General features: G+C 44.5%; 1 protein-coding gene and 1 non-coding gene across 4 annotated transcripts in view; both read right to left on the minus strand.

Annotated features, from left to right (window-relative positions):
• SLIT3 (slit guidance ligand 3) overlaps window positions 1-23,409 on the minus strand; it is a 639,400-nt gene that overhangs the window by 601,414 nt on the left and 14,577 nt on the right. The window contains exon 1 of one of the 3 annotated variants that reach the window (XM_017009779.1): window positions 9,527-9,546. The exons of the other annotated variants lie outside the window; for them this stretch is intronic. Coding sequence (XP_016865268.1) covers window positions 9,527-9,534 — 8 coding nt within the window. The 5' untranslated portion in view covers window positions 9,535-9,546. Of the gene's footprint in view, window positions 1-9,526; window positions 9,547-23,409 lie in introns of those variants that run through there. 3 annotated transcript variants of the gene reach the window in all.
• Window positions 448-541, minus strand: MIR585 (microRNA 585). The gene has a single exon (NR_030311.1). It is a non-coding gene; the product is annotated as a microRNA 585 (primary transcript).

Raw genomic sequence — 23,409 nt, forward strand, 5'->3', positions numbered from 1 at the left:
GGGCAACATAGCAAGACCCTATTTCTACAAAAGAGAAAACCAGCCAGGCATGGTGGTACTTGCCTATAGTCCCAGATACTCAGGAGGCTGAGGTGGCAGGATTGTTTAAGCCCAGGGGGGCAGAGGCTGCAGTGAGCTATGATTGCACTGCTCCAGCCAGAGTGACAGAGCAAGACCCTGTCTCTGAAAAATAATAAAAAGACGACGAGACAGACATGCAGGTATAGTGCCGTGTGACAACAGAGGCAGAGACTGGAGTGATGCAGTTACAAACCAAGGAATGCCAAGGGCTGCTGGCAAGCCCAGGAGCCAGGAAGGAGCAAGGAAGGGCCCTCCCCTGCAGATTTCAGAAGGAGCCTGGCCCTGATGACACCTCAATTTCAGATTGCGAGGCTCCAGAAGTCTGAAAGGATGATTGCTGTTGTAAGGCACCCAGTTTGTGGTACATTGTTACAGCAGCCCTAGCATACAGATACGCCCAACGTTCAGGCTTTCTCTGGGCGTATCTGTGTGCTAGGGCTGCCATAGCACAGACACCCCACACTCCCCCTGCAGCCTCCCCCAGCTGCTCCATCTCGTGCTGGCTTCTCCCTTCCCTGAACTTCTGAACTTCTGGATCATTTACCCTCTCTCTGCACAACTCATTTTGGTCTTTCATCACGTTGCCTTGCTGCTGCCTGTTTCCTGTGTGTCTGCCTTGTCTCCCAAAGGACCTTGAAGAGGATACTCCCCAACTTCCTCCAGACACCTTGGATGAAGGCCTCATGGAGACACTCAGAAAAATGTACACTAGGTTTCTCGGGGTGGAGAAACGGGGTTTTTTTTTTTTAAACATTTTACATTTTGCTTATCAGTATTATCAATGTTTTCTGGAGTAAACATGTATTATTCAATATACCTCCTACCTTCCAAAAAAAACCACTGAAAAAAGGAGTCCAGTTAACCTAAGACTCTCCCCATAGATAAAGTGACCATGCAGAGTTTAAGCCATTCAAGACTCTGGAATTTTAGCCATTTAGCCAAAGGAAGATGCTTTTTGGTTTTGGGGGTTGTTTTTTGAGACAGAGTCTCGCTCTGTCTCCCAGTCTGGAGTGTAGTGGTGCAATCTCGGCTCACTGCAACCTCCACCTCCTGGGTTCAAGGGATTCTCCTGCCTCAGCCTCCCGAGTAGCTGGGATTACATGCATGTACCACCATGCCTGGCTAATTTTAGTAGAGATAGGGTTTCACCATGTTGGCCAGGCTGGTCTCAAACTCCTGACCTCAAACCCACCTCAGCCTCTCAAAGTGCTGGAATTACAGGCGTGAGCCACCGTGCCTGGCCGGAAGATGCTTTTTGATGAGCCCAAGGGCAGACCTCTGAAACTGCTCACATCAGGCGGTCCTAATGGGTGTCTTCCTCTGTCTCCTCTCCCCAGTCCAAAGGACCTAATGCCACCCACCCAGCTACCCTGATGAAAGAGAGAAACAGCATGTGTTTGAAAACCATCAAATCACCTTCCTACCAGGTCAAGGAGAGCAGTGTTTCCCTTTGGGCCACCCTTATAGGGCTCCCATCTCATGCTTTACCTCTCCAGACTCACACCACAGGAGGCATTATTAACTATTCTGATTTTTGCACTTCGTTCTCATCTGTTACATAACCACATGCAAGTTTAAAAACATACACGCATTTGGGAAAGAAATGAGCTGAATTTGATTTTAAAAACTGGCTTCACACTACCTCAGTTGTTTGGGAACTAAGCCTCTCTGGGCTAAATTTTTGGCTTGGCAACACTCTCGCATATATAATTTTACACCTGCAAAAGCTTGCAGCCAGCCCTGTGCAGACAGCTACCTGCAGGGAGAAGAATGGGCCAAACAGAGGGGCAACCCGGGTGGTTGGATGTGGTCATGGTGAGGGCATGTAAAGAGGAGTATTGGGCATGGGGTCTCTTTTCCTTCATCCCTTGCACCAGGAGGACTCCCTGCCCCTGTTTTGCTCAGTTCAGCTCCATGCTCAAAAACAAACAAACAAACAAACAAACAAAACGTACAACTAGCTCTTTACTGGGAACAGCAGAGACGAACTTGCAAACTGGTAGCCCACCGGTGAGTTCTGGCCTGCAGACCTGCGTAGTCTGGTTCTCACTGTGATTTTCACATATGCAAATTAATTGCCAATTTGGGAGCATTTCAAATACAAATCTACAATTCTGGCTTGTCTCCAAAGGTCAGTCCATCAAATAACAATGGATTTTAGTGGCCATCATAAGCTGGTACTAAGAGGCAATTGCCCACTTTGCATAAGGTACATGCCTGCAATTCACCAGTCCACCTGATCCAATTCCCTCACTCAAGTTACCTGCTTAATCTTTTTTCGCATCAGAGTTTGAGATCCCTGCTGCCAAACATAGCGCTTAAGGTGGCAGGCCCTAGAATCAGATAGCCTGGGCTCAAATCTTAGCAAATAGAGCATGATTTTAGGCAGGTTATTTAACTCATCCCTAAGCTTCTGTTTCTCCATCTTAAATGGCCATAATCACAGTACCTACCTCCTAGGATACTGCAAGAATTAAATGAGATGATACGTATAAAGTGATTCTAGCCCAGGGCTGGTCATGCAGTAAGTACTCAAGAAGTAACCATCAATTGGCTGATTATTATTCAGGCAAAATGTGAGCACAAGTAAGATGATGATGTTGGCAGGACCTCCGTGCTTCTAACACAAAGGTGCACCTGGTCAAATCCACAGCTCCACCCCAAATCTCCTTCATCCACTTCAGGCACATCAAAGCATCTGCAGAGACAGTGCTTCCTTCCTGTCACACAGAGGACAACCCAGCCAACACACTCAGAAATAAAAAATTCTTCCTAAATTCTTCCTGTAATGACTTAAGGCAACGTATTCTTTTCTCAGCACTAACCTCCAGGTGGCGACTATCAGTCCAAAAGTTTCACCTTTTATTTCCCTTATCATGCCCAGAAATCTCAAACCCTTCCAAACTCCTTGCAAGGCCTGTTCTCAAAACACTTCCCTGCACTGCATAGGAGAGCACATGATAAAATGGCTCCTCCAATCACCGGGAGGCAGGAAACAAATCCTAGAAGAGACTGGGGCCAACCTTTGGAAATGTGGCAAGAAATGTAGGGAATACGGTATGGCAAGGATAGTGCTCTGTGTTCACCAAACTGTTCCATTTTCCTCCTAGGCAAACAACAAGATTAAATTTCCTGTGCCCTTTGAATCTAAGTGGGACCATGTGGCTGATTTCTGAAGAAAAGGAATGTGGGTGGAAATAATACGTGCCATTTCCAGGCAAGGCTATAAAACATCCTGCAAGCATGACACTCTCCTTCCCTTTCTTGTCTTCATGGCATGTAGAGATCATGTGTCATAAATGGAGGGGTCCCCCAGAGGAAAGCAGCCTGGGTTCCTAAGTGACAATATGGATCATAAGCCACCTACCACCACCCAGACCAGCTCTACTGGACTGGGTGGGTGGGAGGAAGAGGAAGAAATACAGCTTTATATTGTTTTGTTACTGATATATCTGGGCTTATTTGTTGCTGCAGCTTAGCCTTGTCTATGCTAACTGATACACCTAGCAATACGGCATAGTAGGAAAGAATGGCCCAAGTTAAGCATCCATGATCTTCATCCATGATAATCCAGAGCATGACTTTGTAAAATTTTCCTTCCTCATCTTTAAAAGGAGGAAAATAAACTGATCCCCTAGGGTCACAATAATTCTCACTGGCTTTGGATCCTAACACATATTACCTTAAGCAATGTTTTTAAGAAGGCCACTTAACTCCGGTCAATAGAGGTACAAATGCTGCACCCAACCAACATTAAGGTCCAAATAACTTTCTGCTATTTACTATGCAGGAGCCAATCTACAATGAGTGTTTACCATGTGCCAAGGACTATGCTAAACACTTCACATTTGGGGCCTTTTTTAATCCTCACAACCAGCCTATGAGGTTGATGCTACTTATTAGTCCCATTTTATGATTGAACAAATAGAGGCACAGGGAGATTAAGACACCTGTCTATGGTCACAAGCTGAGAAGTACCAAATGAACAAGGATTAGTGGCTGAAAATTTAGCAATCAACTTGCAGCAAGTAAATATAGAGTCCTAAAGGGTGAAAGAGAAATTGAAATGACCTGGTCAGAGAATTTTAGTAACATACTCAAAAAGTTTAGCTAAACTAATAAGCTCCAACTTACTGGGCTCCAGGGCCATATCTGATTTATGTTTGAATCCCTAAGGCTCAGCACAATACCTGGCACATGAAAGGCACAAATCAATATCTGTTGAATGACTGATGTTAACTTGAGCTCTTTATTGACAGTTTTAACTGAGTTACATTTGCCCTTAATTGACAATGGCTTGAGATCTAAAGTTGATGTACTTCACTTATACCAGTAAATCTGGGTATCAGTTAGAATTGGAATGACCATATGATTATCCAAACTTGAATACTTTTGTGAGTTAAAGGGGAAGTCATTAATAATTATACCACAGAAACAGGCAAAGATCAGATCAACACAAATGGTCATTCCCAGCTTGAGCCACAAAATATCGGCAACAGGAGTGGGTGACAATGGAAATACTCATATGGGGCCTGGTTGCCCACCATGTCTTTGTTCTTAAGGAGACCTTCTTCCTGTCCACTTGGGCTGAAGACCACTTCTAAGTCTATGGCTATTTGCAGGACACATCTTGGTTAAGTGTCATTTTCTGAATGGTGCCCACCTCCCAAGTCCAACCAGTCACAGAGCACATACACTATTAACTTTTAACATAGGTGCAGTAATCACTTTAAGAAAACGAAGGAACAGCCCAAGGAATGCAATGATTGCTGCAGGAATATAAACATGGACTGCATTGGAACAGGCTACATACTTTGTATAAACACTAATAAAGTGAGTTCAGGCTGAGCTGTGACTTTAAAGGAAATTCTTCCCCATAAACATGTCCTGCCATGCCCTAATAACTCTTTAATTTGATGCACATTTGGGAAGGATGATGCGAAGTAATCACAGAATAACGTTAAGGTCTGTTGCGAAGGAGGAGTGGCGGAGGGGGGAATGTGATGCAACTTGGTGCTAACACCATGCACCAGAGAGTTAGCTTCATTGCTCATTTCACACATGGAGGGAATTTGCCGAGTGACACGCAGGAAATCAGAGACAGGTCTCTGCAGGTTCGACCCAAGGAAATTCTGAATGTCATCTGATGGCACCACATAAGACTCCCAGTCATTTTCCTGCCTGTCTTTCCTTGCTGGAGACAGCAGAAGTGGCCCTCACTTGCAGGCGGAACTCTCCAATTTCCAGATCAAGGCTCTTCCAATTTGAATGAGATATAAACTCCTTGAAAGCAGAGAACCTTTCTTACACATCTGGGCATCACCCACAGAGCAGACACAGCCCCCATATCCATGAGAGAAGGCAACAGGGCACGGAGTTGAGGAACACTGGACAGCAGCTGTAGCATCAGGCCTCCAGTCCCAGTTTCATTACTACTCGTGTGTTTTGGGCAAACCACCCTTATCTGCAAAATGGGTTAGCAGCACTTGCAGAACCTCAGAGGGTTTTTGAGATGCTCAAGTGAGCCAATGCAAGACAAAGCATTTTATAAATTTTTTAAAAAGTTGTACTGCTGGAAAACTATAAAAATAACAATTAATAATGGTTTTCCCACGTATTGATTTATCATGTCATATCAGGCACTGTTCATCTCCCCTGAAATATTACAGGAATCCTATAAGGGGGACACTCTTATTATCACCATCATCGTATGTTATTATGAAAGCCAAAAATAGTATTTATGGGAAAGTGAGGTCCAGAGAGGTTAAATAACTTGCCCCAATTCACACATCTTCAAAGTATTATCCACGGAGTAATGATTCTGGAGGACAGGCCTGGATGGTCTGAGCTCCCTGCTCTTTGCTCTAAACTCTCAGGGACTTGAAGGTGCCCAGCTTGTCTCCTTTATTAGCCTGTAAGCAATAAGGGCAAGGGCTGTGGGGGTTCACCTTCATGTCTCCAGGACCCAGGGAAGAACTAGGGAGGTAAACCCTTTGGATCCAATGACTGCAGGTCCTCCCTCTCCTTAACCACTCTGACTTATATACCAACTCTTGTTGACTCCACGCAACCGGCCTTGGCCCAAGACACAGCTGATGCTGTCTTTGGCCAGGTGCTTAGCACTGGGCTCCTCCACTCTCTATGGTTCTCCACCTTTACTGACATGAGAGGCCTCAAACTAATGCCCCAGCTGCCTAGAAATGTGTCCCCAAACAGCCAGGCAGATCCTCTGCACTCACCAGGCTCATTCCAAGCCCCATGACTTTGCTCAGGCAACTCTCCCATCTGTAATACCCTCTCCCATGGATCAAAATGAACTGCAGCTGTCAGGAAGCTTGGCTGAGGAATGGGGACCTACTTCAGTAGAGTGATGAAGATTTGGAAAGGAAGAGAATGCAGTCTGACAGTGGGACCAGAGTGGGACCACCAACCCCATTCAGGCAGAAGCCACTTCTCCCATGTGGCACTGATAAAATGCCAAGGGGCAGGAATTAGGGAGGGAGAAGGGCCCAACTGCCTCTCCAACCAAAACTTCATGTCCACTCCCAACGAAGACAAACATCCTTTCATCATCCATGAAACCATATCTTGCTTATTATGACAATTTTTAAAACTTCTGATTATTCCTTTGAGAATCCAATTTGTTTCCTTTGCAAGGAGGAAACAATTCTCTTCTCAGTTTGGGAGGTGGGGACATTCCATTTATCTTAAGGGGAGGGAAATCTGTTTCCTATTACAAATCACGTTCTGTAGGTCTGTTTGTGAAAAATAGATCTCTACACTTTACATAAAAATGAAAATTCTCTTTACTCTTACAAACATCCATGAAGACCCACAAGAGGGAGGCTCCCGCCCTCTCCTCAGCCATTGCCACAAAGATTGGATTCTCATCCCTTGCTCAGAAAAATTTTTACTCTTTCCTCAAAAAGCAGCAGTGTCCCCAAGTCATCCAGCACACCTGAAAGAGTATACAGTAATTCATTCAATCAGCGTTTATGAATGGCAACTTAGTGCCAGGACCGAGTCTAATCCTAAGAAGGCACAGATTAAAATAAATACATCACGCTCCATATCCCCGCACACCAAGACAGGGGTCAGCAAACTACAGCCCACAGGCCCGATCCGGCCCACTGCCTGTTTTCATATGGATTGGGAGCCAAGAATGGTTTTTATATTTTTAAATGGTTGGAAAAAATCAAAAGGATAATATTTCATGACACATAAAAATTATATGAAATTCAAATTTCAGTATCCATAAATACAGTTTTCTTGGAACCAAGCCGCACTGATCCGTTTATACATTGTCTATGGCTGCCTTCACGCGACAGGGGCAGAGTTGTGTAGCTGCCACTGAGACTGAGAGACCCAGAGCCTAAATATACATGTATGACATGGCTGTCTGCTGACCCTGATCTAGGCGCTTATATAGTCTAGGAGGGTCGAAAACAAGAAAGCGGCAGTCAAAAAAATAAGAATAACAAGCACAACAATAGTATGGTGGATGAAACATAATGGTTAAAAGTGTGGGTTCTCACTCTGCATCAGACTGAAGCTTATTCTGCACTTGGGGGACAGAAGTAGCAACATGACTCTGGGGAAGTTATTTTAACTCTCTGTGCCTCTATTTCCTTATCTGTAGTATGTGGATAATCTATAAAATGGGTGTCCTCTTCCTTAGGTTGGGTTAAGAACTAGGCAAGGTTATACATGTCAAACGGCTAGGACAATGCCTAGCTCATAAGTGCTCCATCTCTTTGCTCTTATTGTTGCCAGTATTGCTGCTCACACAACTCCAGGGGGCATCGTTCAACAGTATACAGTGAAAATGGCACACCTGGAGTACATCATGTGAATGGTGGCCCAGGAATTCAGCAATGTTGTGGTCCTGACTGTAGGTGATATGACAATGATGCTCATAGTTTCGAGGAAAGGCAGGAGGGCAGACAAGCATTCCAGATGGAGGCAGCAGGTCCTGTGTATTTTTATTGCCATGTCATGTGCTACTCCATCATGAAAGAGGCTAACTTCGAATAAGCTATAGGGGGCTCCAGTGCAACCCACAATCCCCATGCCTGCCTTTCTCCCAGCTCACGGCCCCTTCTCAGTCATCCTGAGATGAGTCTCCTACGCTCATTCCTGCGATTACACCTTGCTCCTGGTCCCTCAAACTCTCAGACAGTGGGCTATTTTAAGCTCAAATTAAAGGCTCCTCTCTTGAATGGCTGCAATTTTATTCTGTGGTTTGTTTACTCTGACGTGGCCTGGGGCCACGGTGCTGGTGCACGGGGCATTGCGAGGGGGTAGAGGGTTTCAGGAAGGAGGCAGGGGCTTTGCAGGAACAATTTCACCGCAACATATTCTGTGGAAAACACAAGCACGTGGATGGACAATTAAAAAGAAAACAACTGCGGGAGTATCCTATATATATAGACAGAGATGCTCAAAATAGCATCACACCAGAAGCAAGAAAGCCCTGGAAGCTACAGAGTGCTTCAAACTCCAGAGAAAAGCACTTGCCACTCCCATTCCATGAGTCCAAGTCTCCTTTAGCCTCTCAGAGGAAGAACCCTTGGGGCAGATACAGGCCTCTTTATCTACAGAGGCCTTGCCGTAGACCCTATCATTATGGGGTAGAGCTCTGAGGCTGAGACCACAGACTAGGCTTCCAGGGTATCCCAAGGGACATCTGGGTCCATAGACTCGTAATGGGCAAATGAGCACAGTGCTGGGGAAAAGCAGGCAAGTGGGTACAGAGGAGAGTAGGGGAAACTGGGCAGGTGCAGGGGCAGAAGCCCATCAAGCTCTCCATGTCAACATTCTCTGCCTGGGCAGTGCCTGAGCTATAGGAGGCCCATGGGTAAGGGGGCTGGGGATCTGACTTCGTCCCTTCTCTCCATCCCTCAGTTCCCTTGCTTGTAAAAGGACAGGAGAGAAATGGACCTTCATGTCACATTTGGAGGGCAGAGTCCCTGTTCCGTTTGCAACCTGACCACACACCTCCACCCTGACCCACAATCCCAGGTTAAGTTTTGATTTGCCTAGTTCTACTCTGGAGATGTTCTCGGCTGCTTACGCAATGTTGGCTCTGCAAGCAGCTGGGCATGCAGTCCCTAGTTCATCAAGGTCCCTGTTACTTCCTAAGATTTCACAAGCAGCCCAATTCACCCATTTATATTACCTGTCTGGCCCAGGTAGGTAATTGGATCTAACTGCAGACTTCATAATTATGAAATGTTTTCCAACCTAGCGTAAAAGCTCTGCTAGGAAAGAAACCAAGCCCATGAATCAGTCCTCACTCTGGTGCCCAGCACAGTGCCTTGCCCAGGCTACTGCTTAAACAACAGTGGGGGATTTGAATGCACTGATGTGATCGTGTCTCTCATTCACAGCTTCCAAGACCATGTGAGAAGAGAAACGAGAAGGGAAGGGAACAAGAAGCACTCACCCCATCATCCCTCTGCCAGACTTGATCCTGCAGGTCTACTGAAGTTGACCCCAGCTCCCAGGGAAAAAGAGATGGAGGTGGCTGCAGGTGAGCCAAACATTGGCTCCAGTAAAATTGAGAGCAGCTGGCACTTCTGAATCCTCTGGGCCCCCGGGACCTGGGCTGAGTGCACACGCGCAAGCACCAGCCCTTTCCCCTTTCTCTTCTTGTCATGCTTAATTACACTGGGATTGTGCTGAGTCAGTCAACCTGCTGGGGTGGGAGCCCAGGCATGACCTTTCCCGTTGCTCTCAGCCAGCTCATGGGTCTCAAGTAGCCGTGTGTGTTTCCACCAAGAAACCCAAGAATAAACTCAGCACCGACACACATGGTGCCAAATGCTAAGGCCCACACCTCAGCCCTTGGGAAGGCGGCCCCTTCTGAACCGAGAGAGAACAAAAAGGCCTTGCAACAGCCATACTACCTGCATTCAGCCCACCACCCCCTGCCTCTGGCCTTGAAACAGAGTCCCCTCACCGTGGAATGTGGCAACCGGCACTCGGCCAAAGGTGGCCACAGGAGAGGGAGGCAGGCACCCTTGATGCTCTCAAGTACCTCTGGCTTTGCCAAGTTTCTACCTGAGGCTTGGCTTCCAGGCCTTTGTATCCTCATCTCAGAGAGAGAGATGATCACTCTGTACATTCAAGAGGCGTGCATAGCTTCCCACTTCTCTGCACACATGTACATGTGTATGCACATACACAGCCTCTGAAATTGCCCAGGAGAAAGTCATGCAGCCAAATGCTCTAGGTCAGTGATTCCCAGTCTTGGCTGCAAATTAGAATCACCTGAGGGAGCTTTAACACTTGCTGCCCAGGCCACACTGCAGACCAACTAAACCAGAATCTCTGGGGATAGAGACCAGGATTCATACTATTTTAAAGGCCCCAGGTGATTTCAATGTGCAGCTAGGGTTGAGAATCATTGTTGGAGGTGAACGGCAAGTCTTGGAAAATTCCATCCACCAACTTATGCTTTGAGGCTGAGTTTACAAGCTTGAATTGGGCTTAAGATAAGGTAAACCTTCAGGACTTTGGCCACAAGGACCAGCTAATATTTACCAAATATCTAGTGTGTGCAATGTTCTGCAGAAGGTCCTTAGTGTGAAATTCCTGACCCCAAGGAGCTTAAAACCTAAATGGTAAAGCCTAAGAATCTTCACATTGATACAAAAACACAATATGGTATATAAATAAGTTAATGTGCAGCTGAACAATTCAAAATAATCCAAAATAACAATCAAGCAACCTTGTACCAGGCACTGTACAATACTAGGGGAACAACAAAGGCAGAATCCCTATCTTCAAAGAGCTCAGACAGCATCATAATCCCCCAAATGGGGTTCCCGGACCAGCAGTATCAGCATCACCTGGGAACTTGCTAGAAGTGCCCATTGTAGGGCCTCATCCCAACCTACTGAGTCAGATCCTTTGCAGGTGGGCCTATCAATTTGTGTTTTAACAAGCCCTCCAGGTGATTCTGGTGCCTGCTCAAGTTGGGAACCACTAGTCTAGAAGACCGATTTATGCTGTGGGAATTGGAAAAAGGAAGACATCTCCTTGGGCTAGGGCTGATGAAAGCCTTGTAGGATTTGAATCCTGGCTCTGACACTTACATTTCGGGACAATGAAAGGCAACTACTTTAACCTCCTTATGCATCTATTTCGTCAAATCGAAAGAAGCATTAAGTTTTAGAGGCCAACCACGCAGAGTTGTATAAAAAACAGATAAGATAATGTATAAAATTCACTAGTACAGTGCCTGGGGCCTAGTCAGTAGCCAATAAATGATCTCCAACACTAGCAGTCATGGTGCAAGGGAGCCGTTCAGTACATGAATGTTGATGGAATGAATGAAGGAAAGAATGAACTGATTCAGGCATGACTGATGGGAACTGGATTTGGCAAGCCTGGAAAAGCAACAATCTCTGGGCAAACAGGGAGATCTTCATGATAGGATAAGGGCTTCCAAGACTGAGTGGTGAGAAAACATCTCCAATCTTGACACTGGCATCTTCCTGGCTCAGCCTCCTTCCTTGCTCATAGCACCCAGGGTGTTGGTTATGCACCTGGGCTCTGGAGTCAGACCATCTGGATTCAAATACTTACCAGTTGGGTGGTCTTGTGTGGGTCATTTAAATCCATTAAGCCTCAGCTTTTTCTTCTGGAAATTTGATGTAATAAATAGGTTCAACCTCATAGGGTTGTTGTGAGAATTAAACATGATAATGTGTATAAATCAGTTTGATCCTTTGAATATAATAAGTGATCTATAAACGTTAGCGCTTTGTACGGCACACAGCTGATGCTGCCTTAACCTCTGCAGAATTAGCCTGGGCTGAGATTTTTCAAGCCAACAAATGTCAGTGCACTCGAATGCCAGATCCATTAACACAAAATGGTTGTTACGTGCCTTCATAATAGCAGTAGCTGCTGAGATTGGTACTTACACACAGGTGGTGTGTAAGTACTTCTCATGCATAGGTGCTGAACACATGAACCCTGGGACAACAGGTATCACTGCACCCATTTTACAGATGAGGTAACTAAGGTTTGGTGACCCATCAGTTAGTTATACGACTGTCAAGTGTCAAAATGAGATTCAAGTTCAGCCCTAATTCTAAAACCCATAGCCTTTCTACTGCTGTAAAATCACCCAGCCTTCCCTCAGAGGCTGCCTAAAGACTTTTCCAAACAAGGTTCACCTAGCTGCAGTGTCAGAGGGCCAGACTTTGTCCTGATGTCGCTGTGTCACATACAGCATTGGAAAAGGATTGTATTAATCTGTTTTTTTACGCCGCTGATAAAGACACACCCAAGACTGGGAAGAAAAGGAGGTTTAATTGGACTTCCACACGGTAGGGGCAGTCTCATAATCATGGTGGAGGGTGAAAGGCACTTCTTATATGACAGCAGCAAGAGAGAAATGAATGAGGATGCAAGAGTGGAATGCCCTGATAAACCCAGATCTCATGAGACTTATTCACTATCATGAGAATAGCATGGGAAAGACCAGCCCCCATGATTCAATTACCTCCACCTGGGTCCCTTCCACAACAGGTGGGAATTCTGGGAGATACAATTGAAGTTGAGATTTGAATGGGGACACAGCCAAACCATATCAGGGATGGAGCTCAGAACTGAGCCTGGAAGAGGGAAGTCATGGGTGGGCTAGGGTCAGGATGGTGGACCCTGCAGCAGATAAGGCTTTTGGATTGTAAAACTGGTCCCTCTTGCCAGTGATAAAGGGTGTACATGTGTCTGTGTGCATGTCTGTGTGTATGTCAGTGTGTGGGCTGTGGGGTAGGATGGGTCGGGGGAGTGACGCGAAGTCTTGCCTCCTCAATCCAAAAATGGTGAGCTAAGCCTAAACAAAGAAAGAGAGCAATTGAACGCTACACGAAATTCACATCAGCTTTCAGAAACCAATTTCTTCTGAAAGAGGGTTTCTGGCCCATCAGACAACACAGTGAGATGACTCCCTTTTATCTCCTCCCAGGTCTATTTCCTTAAAGGCCAAATTGTGGTCTTCTTTCTTTTTTCTCCCAGATGCCAGCTGCGACTCTGCTCACAGCCCAGGAGACCTGTAGACCCATAATGTCTCTTCCTGATGATTTGAACTGTGTCGTCAATAAGCGGAGAAAAGTGTGGTTGGCCTCCCATCTTCTTCCAAGAGCTGCTAACAAAGATTCCTGGAGTCCATTACCAATTTGGACTTCATCCTCTATCCTCTTTGGTTCAACTGGTCCAAAGAGTCGCCGGGATGCCCTTCATTGGAACAAAGAGGATATTTCCTGGTTGGGATTCTGAGAGTTTGTAACAATTCCTAACAATTTACCCTCCCTCAAATCTTGCACTTACCTGCAAGGAGACATGTTACCTCCAGCTGACTCTACCTGCCAAAAATATTGCTGCATGTTCATATTTATCATCTTTGTGTTCCACAGTTGCCATGGTAGTAAAATTTACACTCAACAGCCTCAGTGCCATTTTCAACTACAAATAGAATGATTATGTTCCCAGTAAGGCTTGACAAAAACAGAAATGTGCATCTACTATAGGCTGGGCTGTGCGCTACACATAAGGTCTAGGGGCTGAGGTGGATGAGAAAAGAATTTCTATAATTTTCCTCCTTTATAAAGCAGGCTTTTTGTTTCTCTTGTGATGAGATTTTTTAAAACTGTAAAATCTACATCATATAAGTTTTGCCATTTTAACTATTTTTAAGCGCACAGTTTAGTGGCACTAAGTACATTCACAATGTGGTGCAACCATCACCATTTACATATTTCCAAAACTTTTTCATTGCCCCAAACAGGAACCCTGTACCCATTCAGCCCTAACTCCCCTTTCTCCCCTCCCCAGCCCATCATAACCTTTAATCTACTTTATGTCTTTATAAATTTGCCTATTCTGGAAATATGCTGGACACTTCATGTAAGTGGAATCTGTAATATCCTTTTGTGTTTGGGTGATTTTACTTAGCATAATCTCTCTTTTCTTTTCTTTCTTTTTTCTTTTCTTCTTTTTTGAGACAGGGTCTTGCTCTGTCACCCAGGCTGGAATGCAGTGGCATGATCATGGCTCACCATAGCCTCTACCTCCTGGGCTCAGGTGATCCTCCCACCTCAGCACCCTGGGTAGCTGGAACTACAGGTTTGCACCACTATGCCCAGCTAAGTTTTGTATTTTTTTACAGATGGGGTTTCAGGCAGGTCCCATGTTGCCCAGGCTGGTCTTGAACTCCTGGGTTCAAGCGATCTGCCTGCCTTGGCCTCCCAAAGTGCTGGGATTACAGAGGTGACCCACCACGAGTGGCCAGCAGAATGTTTTCAATGTTCATCCATGTTGTTGCATGTATCAGAACTCCATTCCTTTTTAAGGTTGAATAATATTCCATTGTATGTATATACCACATTTTGTTTATCCATTCATCTGTTTATAGACACTTGGGGTTTTTTTCCATATTTTGGCTATTGAGAATAATGCTGCAATGAAAGTTGGCACACAAGTATCTGTTTGAGTACCTGCTTTCAATTCTTTTGGGTATATAATTAAGACTGGAATTGCCAGATCGTATGGTAGTCCTACGTTTAAATTTTTAAGAAACTGCCTTACTGTTTTCCACAGCAGCTGCACCATTTTACGTTTCACCAGCAATGTAGGAGGGTTCCAATTTCCAATTACACTTATTATTTTCTGGGTTATGTTTTCTCTTTGACTATAGCCTTCACAGTAGGTGTGATGAGCCTGTTTTTTGTAAGAGCAAATTGGTAAGACGTGGCTTGTTCACCACTGCACGAGGTGCACATGGGTGCATGGACTATAGCTTTGTTGAATGAATAAATGGTCTCTCCTGCTTACAATATTGTAATATTCCTTTGGATGTGATGTCCTGCTCAACTTTTCCCTGACTCCCCTGTTGACAGGATCTGGAACTCCCATATAGAAGCCTGGCGACACAGAAGAGACCCAGGCAGCAACTGAGATCACAAATAGGGGGCTTTCCTCCAGCGACCATCTGTACCACCTTTCTGCATTGTTTCCATGCCTGAAAATCAGTAAAACCTGCTGCTTTAGAATCAGGAAGCCCACTTGGTAACACCTGAAAAGTAGGATAAGCTATAGAGTGTTGTGACTAAGAAACCAAAGCAGTGGGCTAAACAGACTGGCCTGAATTACAGTTCTGCCTCTTGCCATGTGGGGATTCATGGGAAAACTATTCATCCCCTCTGTGCGTTAACTTGGACTTAATCCTATTCTTCTGAGCACTAAAATGAATCAATAAAGGCACTTAGCACAGTGCCTGGCACACTGTGAGGTCTCAGTAAAAGTTAGCTCTTATTGTTACTGTAACGCTCCAGTATTAATGCGCAGGCCCAAAGAAAACCCTGCTTCTGCTACTTCCTCTGACCCCCCAAGGTCTGTGGGAAAACAGAAGTGGCTCCAGAATGAGAGGGCAGACTTCATTTCCTTCATTATTTTCCAGGTACAGAGCCAAGGTTTGAGACAAGGAACCCCTCCGCCATGTTTCTTCACATGGGCTACCCATCCCTCAAAGCTCATTTTGGCAAGGGGTTTGGGGAGAGAGCAGGGCCATCACCACCAGCCTCTCCTGCAAGGCCCAGAACCCACAGCTCAAGGGGTCTCAGAGAACTTTCACTGCATTAAAACCACAGATGACACTGGAGTTGGTTAAAGTTTCCAAAGAGAAGGTTGATGGACAGGCCAAGAATTCATGGTACGGGGGCTGTACCATGAGGACCCGGGAGAAAATCCAGGAGGAATGAGCCATGAGGCTAGGTAAGGTGGTATTATCTCATGTTGGCAGCACTGTAATTCTTACATGTAGGGAAGACGGCAGCATTCAGCTTGGCCTGACAGGAAGCTTTGTGTTACACTGAAGCATATTGAAAATATCAAAGTCCCGTGAAATAAAAATACAGCTTCTGGGCCCAATACTTTACCTGTGTGTAACTTAAAAGCTTTATTGGACATGGAGACTCTCTAACCAAAAACAAAGTGTGAGTGAAGGGTGGTGAAGGAAGGAGTATCAAATAGCAGACCCCTGCAGGTGTGTGTAGAATAACAACAGATGCTACTTATTGAGCAAGGGGCTAGGTGCTTTCCCCACATCCTGTCTCACTGGCATGGAAGAGCAGCACCTTATGTTAGGCAGTGTTAGCCCCATTTTACGGAGGAGGAAACCTGAGGTTCTGAGTTAGGAACTAGCTGAATCTGTATGCATACATACAGAAAAGGAAGAGAAAGAGAAATTTCTGTGACTTACATATATTCCATATTAGGATGAACTCTCTGAAATTACTACTATGCCACCTTTTCTAACAAAAGTGCCAATTCCACAGGGTTCAACCTAACATAACATATTATGTAAATAATAATTTAATAAGCTATATAAAAGGATATCATACATTTCATATTTTATTCATTTTATAATGTTATCCATAAATTATATAATATGCACAAGAGGCAGAATGCTTAGTGGTTGACAAGGTGAATTCTTGAATTGGATTGCATGGGAAAGTTGACTCTGCCACTTATGAGCTTCCAGACATGAAGTAAATAATGTCCCCTCTGGTGCCTTTGTTCCTCATCTATAAAATGAACTCATAATAGTACCCACCTCACAGAATGGTTGTAAGAATTAAGAAATCACAAAGTGCTAAAACTGTGCCTGGCACATGTCACTTATTAGCAGTCACCACGCTTGCTTTTGTTCACTAATTCCTTGCAAAAATCCTTGGCAATCATCAATGCTACCTTCATTTCACAGTGAGAAGCCTGAGACTCGGAGATTTGCCCAGGATTATACATCTAGCAAGGATGCATCAGGAATTCAAACTCAGGTCTTTCTGAGTCCCAAGTCCTGCTGTTTCTTGTAAGCTGCCCAGCTTCCGCTGGGGGTCTCCTTGTGCCTTCATTTGCCATTCAATGAAAGGAGAGGTTGGACCAGCTGACTTTATGGTTCCTTCCAAAATCCTCATGCAAGGAGGTGCTATCAAAGCAGCAGCATCAGAAATAACAGGATCAAATGCTTTTGGTCCCACTGAGTGCAGTATCCTTAGCCATGTGGCCAGAAGCATTTGGTATTGAGGGTTCCAATTTTTTTTTTCTTTTCTGCTATTTCTTTCCAGCATCCTCAGTACATTTCCTAATTAATCACTCCCACTTAATTTCCTAAAGCAATCACATCCTCCCCACAGGCAAGCGGCCTCGTCTCAGGCAGAAGCACACACACCAGCTGGCCCCTCGGCTATGTGGGAGTGTGTGAGCAGCCCTTGGACACAGCCCAAAGAGTGGCAGAGACGCAGGAAAAATGTAGTCTGGGAAGCTACACTCAGAGGACACTCTTGCCATTCTGGTGACATGTGGGTTTCCTGGTGAGCAAAAGGGACACTGAGATTTGGTTCTTCAAGGAAACTCTAAGGTGCAGAAGATCTGGCTGGAGCATCTCGGAATGCAGGGAGACTCTACCAGTGGCTGTTCTGTGATGCTGGGCAGGGCTTTGCTGGCCAGGTAGGAAGCTCAGGTCTGTCTCCCTCCCAGCTTTGCTGATGACTTGCTGTGTGACTTTGGGCAATAGCTTTTCTTTTGTTGAGCCTCAGTTTTTCTATTTTTAAAACGAGAACAGTCATACATATAACACAGTGTGGTTTTAAGAAACGAACCACAAATACAATAGCCAAGAGGAACTGGACAGATGAGATCAATGAGCAAAGCTGGGTCAAGCAAAAGACAATAAACATAATGTCAAATGGCAGCTGACGTACTGTCTCAGTGTTGGGGTCACAATAGGGAGTGGTAGGGACTGCAGTGAAATGGAGACACACCCCATCTACATAAAAGCCAGTCAATTACTGCCATAGAGCCAAGCTGAGCTTCTGTTGCTGGATTTTATTTTAGAAAAGAAACTAGAAATAGATTTGTATATGTATTCCCCTAATCTTATTATAAAATGGTAGGGGGAGGCTGGGCGCAGTGGCTCATCCCAGCACTTTGGGAGGCCAAGGTGGGCGGATCATGAGGTCAGGTGATCGAGACCATCCTGGCCAACATGGTGAAACCCCGTCTCTACTAAAAATACAAAATTAGCTGGGCGTGGTGACGGGTGCCTGTAATCCCAGCTACTTGGGAGGCTGAGGCAGAAGAATCACTTGAACCAGGGAGTCAGAGGTTGCAGTAGGCCGAGATGGCGCCACTGCACTCCAGCATGGCAACAGAGCAAGAATCTGTCTCAACTCGACCCAGCTTTGCTCATTGATCTCATCTGTCCAGTTCCTCTAGGCTATTGTATTTGCGGTTCCTTTCTTAAAACCACACTGTGTTGTATGCATATATGTATGTAAATAAATACATAAATAATTGATGGGGGGAAATGGACACAAAAAAATTATGTGAGCCAATAGCATTAGTCGTTATTACTGTTACTATTAACTTCTCTGTAACTCAGAACCCCCACCTGAAACAATGGATGTAAAGATTCCTGATAACCATCTCTGCTCCATGGACATCTGCAAAAATTTCTGAGGGCACTACAGAGATTAAACACTGTGTGCACACAATTATGTTGCTTTATTAATTTAAGCATACTTCATTGACATTGGGCTAGCCAGTGTTTCTTAACCAGAGGTAATTTTCCCCCCCAGGGGACATTTGGCAATGTCTGGAAACATTTTTGAGTTGTTATGAAACAAGGGTACAGCTGGAATCTAAGAAGAAGAGGTCAGAAATGTTGCTAAATATAATGAACAGGACAGCCCACCAAACAACAAAAATATCCAACCCAACATGTCAATAGTACTGAAGTGAGAAAGCCTGAGCTACGTGGAAGTTTCCCCTTGCATCCTCTCTACAGAAAGAACTTTTTGAAGATAGAGACTTGGATAGGTTTTGTTGGATATGGGAGAAGCCGGCAGGTGGGAGAACCAGCATCTATAATTATCTCCTCTATGAGGCTCAAGGCCTTGCTTTCATTCTGCCTCCTACAGCCTCTTCTCGTCATTGTCTTAGCAACTGTCACCTCAATATATTTCCCTCAAAAAAATCTGTTGAAGATGCACAGGTCAGAAAATAGGCTCTGGGGAAACTGTGGACTTATGAGATGAACCGTCTGAGCCAAGGTCACTCAGCAAGTTGCAGGGCAGACCTAGGAGAGAATTCTCCTGGGTCCTGGTCCAGGTCCCTCAGGAAGACATCACTCCATTTTGCTGTTGCCATGGTAATTATAAATCAATTATGTCTCTCCATTAAAGCAGTTACTCCATAGAACGTTCTCACAAAGGATTGTTGAACTCGCCCTAGTTATTCCAGGGATGTGAAAGTAATCACATTTTTGTATATTCTATAATTCTGGCTACATTTATGATTGTCCTTCACCTATAATGGGATAAATAAGTGAGGTTATATTGCATCGTGGTTGTCATGCATTGCTATGACTACTCCAAACAAAGAAAACTGTGCTAGAAGCAACAGCAAGCGATTCTGGTTCACCTTAAGAAAGGACAGGAAAGGAGAACAGAGTGACTTTTATCATCCTTACATTATGCTGAATGTTTTACATATCTTACCTCATTTATTCTTCCCTATAATTTGAAGAATTTCTTGAGGTCAATTTTCTCAAACACTGCTGTACATCAGAAACACCTGCAAGGTTTACAAAATCCCAACATCCAAAAAGCACCCCCAAATCATTAAATCACACTCTCTGGGGATTGGCCCGGGCATCAGTAATTTTTTAAGTCTCCCCAGATGATTGCAATATGCAGGCAAGTTTGAGAACCAGGGCTTCAGGACTCATTATCCTTATTTTACAATGATGCTGACATCCTAAGGGAAAAATGAACTTGCCTAAGGGCACCCAGCTGGTGAATGGTAAAACTGTGATTCAAACCTGGTCTGCCTTTCTCCAAAGGCCACGCATAATCTTTCTCATTGTGCCATTTTCTCCCCAGAAGTTTGTTGTTTGTGGCTTTCTCACTCATTTGGAAATTTGGTTGCAATCTTATGAACTTGAGTGAAAGGGAATTCTCTAGAAAGCTATCAAGAACTCCTGGATTCAATGAGCATCTTAAGAACAGGTCTTGGCGGGGTGGGAGGGAAGCAGGCATAGTCTGGTCTATGCTTTTGAAAGTGCTTAGATGAAATGGAAAACCATTATGTCCAATCTCCTTGTTCCTCTGGTCAAGATTCCAGTTCCAGAAAGAAAGGATCCAATTGACCTGACTTGGGTCATAAACTTAGCCTTTGACTAGGAGAGGCCAAGAGCCCTGATCAAAAATCTACCAGGCTGTATCCCATGGGTGCAGAAGATGACATCCCAATAATGAAAGAAAGGCTGCTGCTAGGAAGAAAGAGTGAATGGGTCTTAGGCAGCCAGAAAACAATGCATGTCTACTACAATGGAGGGGACTGAGGGACTTATGACAATTTCACAGCCACATGATGATCCCAAAGTCAAACTCAGCAAAAATCCAAAGGTTCATCCAATCAAAATCACTAATACAGACAAGGATCATTCAGAAGAAATATGCCACCGGAGAAGTGGCCACTGAATGGCCTCAAAATCATTTGCGAAATGTTGTGAGGTCTGTGCATTTTTCTAAAGACAAGGTAAATGTCTTTTATCCGATTATTTAGACTCTTAAAAAACAGAAAAGGTAAGGTTGGGGCTCCTGGGAGGTCTTAGGGAAGAAAAGGAGAAGCTCGTAGTCAATGGTTCCTAAGAGAGCTTCAGGTCCCAGGAACTACCCGGGAAAGTGAACCCCCGTGACCTGGCTTGACACCACAAAGACAAGGCTGGTATAGTTTGCTGAATTTCAGCCAATAAAACAATGCTGTAAAAAAAAGGCACTGACAAAAAACAGACACAAGGTAAGAGCTAACATGTTTGCCCACGGCTGCACAGCAGCAAGGGACAGGATCTATCCGGTGAGGAAAGAAAATGTGAACCTCTGAGCAAAACGATTATAACTGGAGGAAGCCAGGGGATCTCTAGGGTCAAAAGCCAACAGGGACAATTAAAACTCAGCTGTGGATGTGTCAAAATAGTGTACTGTCCCGGGCAGCTTACCTGGGACCCTGAGCTCCTTTCCAAAGGGCTAGTTCTCTATCCCATGAGGGTATCTTCCCAGATCTAGGCATCAGCAGACACTACCATGCAGAAACTTGAAAAATGAAGCCATTGTGAGTTATTAGCATTGCATGAGTCATTGTTCAGTGCATAAATTCATGGACAAATCAATATACAAACAAAAGAACACAAATTGTTAACTGTGGCTAATATAGGTACCATTTTAAGTCCCTACTATGTGTCAGGGTCTGAGACAGAAGCATTCCTCATCTTCACAATAACCCTACAAGACAGTTACTATAGTACCCATTTTACAGATGAGGATCCTGAGACCCAAAGAGATGAAGGGACTTATCTACATTCACACAATGAGAAGTGATGGAATTTGAAACCAGGTTTGTCTGAGTGGAGTATCCAGGTGCTTGCCACAATGCTACACTACCTCACAATATCTGTAATTTAGTTAGAGCATTGAATGTGTGTTAGGCATTTTGCATTTACTATCCTTAGTTCTTACAACAATCCTTGAGATAAGTATTATTGTCTTTATGTCTTTTTTTTATGAGAAAGACAAGTAATTTTTCAAAGGGCACATTTTGAACACAGATTTTTTTTTTCTTGGAGACAGGGTCACACTCTGTCACCCAGGATAGAGTGCAGTGGTGCAATCATGGCTCACTGCAGATTGACCTCCTGGGCTCAAGTTATCCTTCCCACCTCAGCCTCCTGAGTAGCTAGCACCACAGTTGTGTACCACCATGCCAAGCTAATTTTGTTATCTTTATATTTTGTACAGATGGGGTCTCACTATGTAGCTCAGGTAGGTGTCAAACTCATAGGCTCAACTGATCCTCCCACCTCAGCCTCCCAAAGTGCTGGGATTACAGGTGTGAGCCACTGCACCTGGGCCTGAATACAGATTTTTGAATCCAGATCTCCTTGGCGCTAAGCTCCTGGTCTTTCCACCAAATCTGCTGCCTATCCAATTCAATTTGATTTTTGAAAATATGTTGATTTTGTCTTATTTTCACAAGCATTGTACTAAGCTTCTATAGAGAAATGCCAGCTCCTGTCCTCAAGGAACTTTTTGTCTACTTAAGAGATTAGATTATATGGTACAGAAAAATGATGATCATAACTATATAGCTGTGGAGGTTTTAAAACACAGCTGCAACTTCTGAGACTTCTTACATGGAGAGATGACCCCTACCCTTGCATGTGGGCAAGCTTGTACTGTTCAGAGCCACAGAGCAGAGCAGAAGGGGTACTATGTTGCTTTTAAGTCCATTCATAAAAAGCCATGCTACTTCTGAGTTGTTCTGAGTTGCTGCACACCTCTTCTCAGAGTGTGGAGCAACCATGTGAGAAGTTAGACTACTCAGAGGCCACCATGTTGTGAGGAAGCTCAAGCCACATAGAGGTCACATGTGTAGACACCCTGCTCAACAGTCCCAGCTGAGCCCAGACTTCAAGTCATCCCAGCCTAGGTGCCAGACATGTGAGTGAACAGCCTGCTGGGGATTCTAGCACCCAGGTATTCAAGTCTCTCCTGGTCATTCCAGACTCTGCAGATGATGCCTCAGACTGTATGGAGCAGAAATAAGCCATCTCTACTGCACTACGACGTAGAGAATCATTGAGCATGATAAAATGGTTGTCACTTTAGAACACTAAGTTTTGGGGTGGATTGTTAAGCAGCAAAATATAGCCATAATAATGGCTTTTGGAGTGATTATTTAATGCCAGACACTGTCCTCTAAGCTTGACATGTATTACCTCATTTGATCTTCCTAGTAAGCCAGGGAAGCAGGTTACTATTAAAGACCATGCCTAAGATTACTTAGCTACTAATGGCATTCAAAACCAGGTCACACTAACTCCAGCATCAAAGCATCAATAATCTAAACTGCTGTACTATAGAGGAAGCAAAATTATGTCTCTGAATAAAACCTACAAAGCCCCAAGCCAATCAGTTTTAAGAAACACCGACTGCTATTTTTTTAAACTAAACATCTTTTTTTTTCTTAATTTCAGAAGGCTTACTGTGGAGCTGAGCTAATTATTTGAGCCTTAATCAAGGACCAGCCACTTCCCGAAGCAGCTGTCCTGGCCTCTCTCTTGCCTCTAGAAAGTCTCTTGAATTGGATATTGGCTCAGGTCTAAACCCCAAATCCCAGCCCCCAGAAGTGAGGATGCATAGGGCTGAAAGGATCCTTGGAGATCATCCAGTCTACTTCCCTCATCCCCTTTAAAGA

Source organism: Homo sapiens, chromosome 5 (assembly GCF_000001405.40).
Source record: "Homo sapiens chromosome 5, GRCh38.p14 Primary Assembly".
Lineage (NCBI taxonomy): Eukaryota > Metazoa > Chordata > Mammalia > Primates > Hominidae > Homo > Homo sapiens.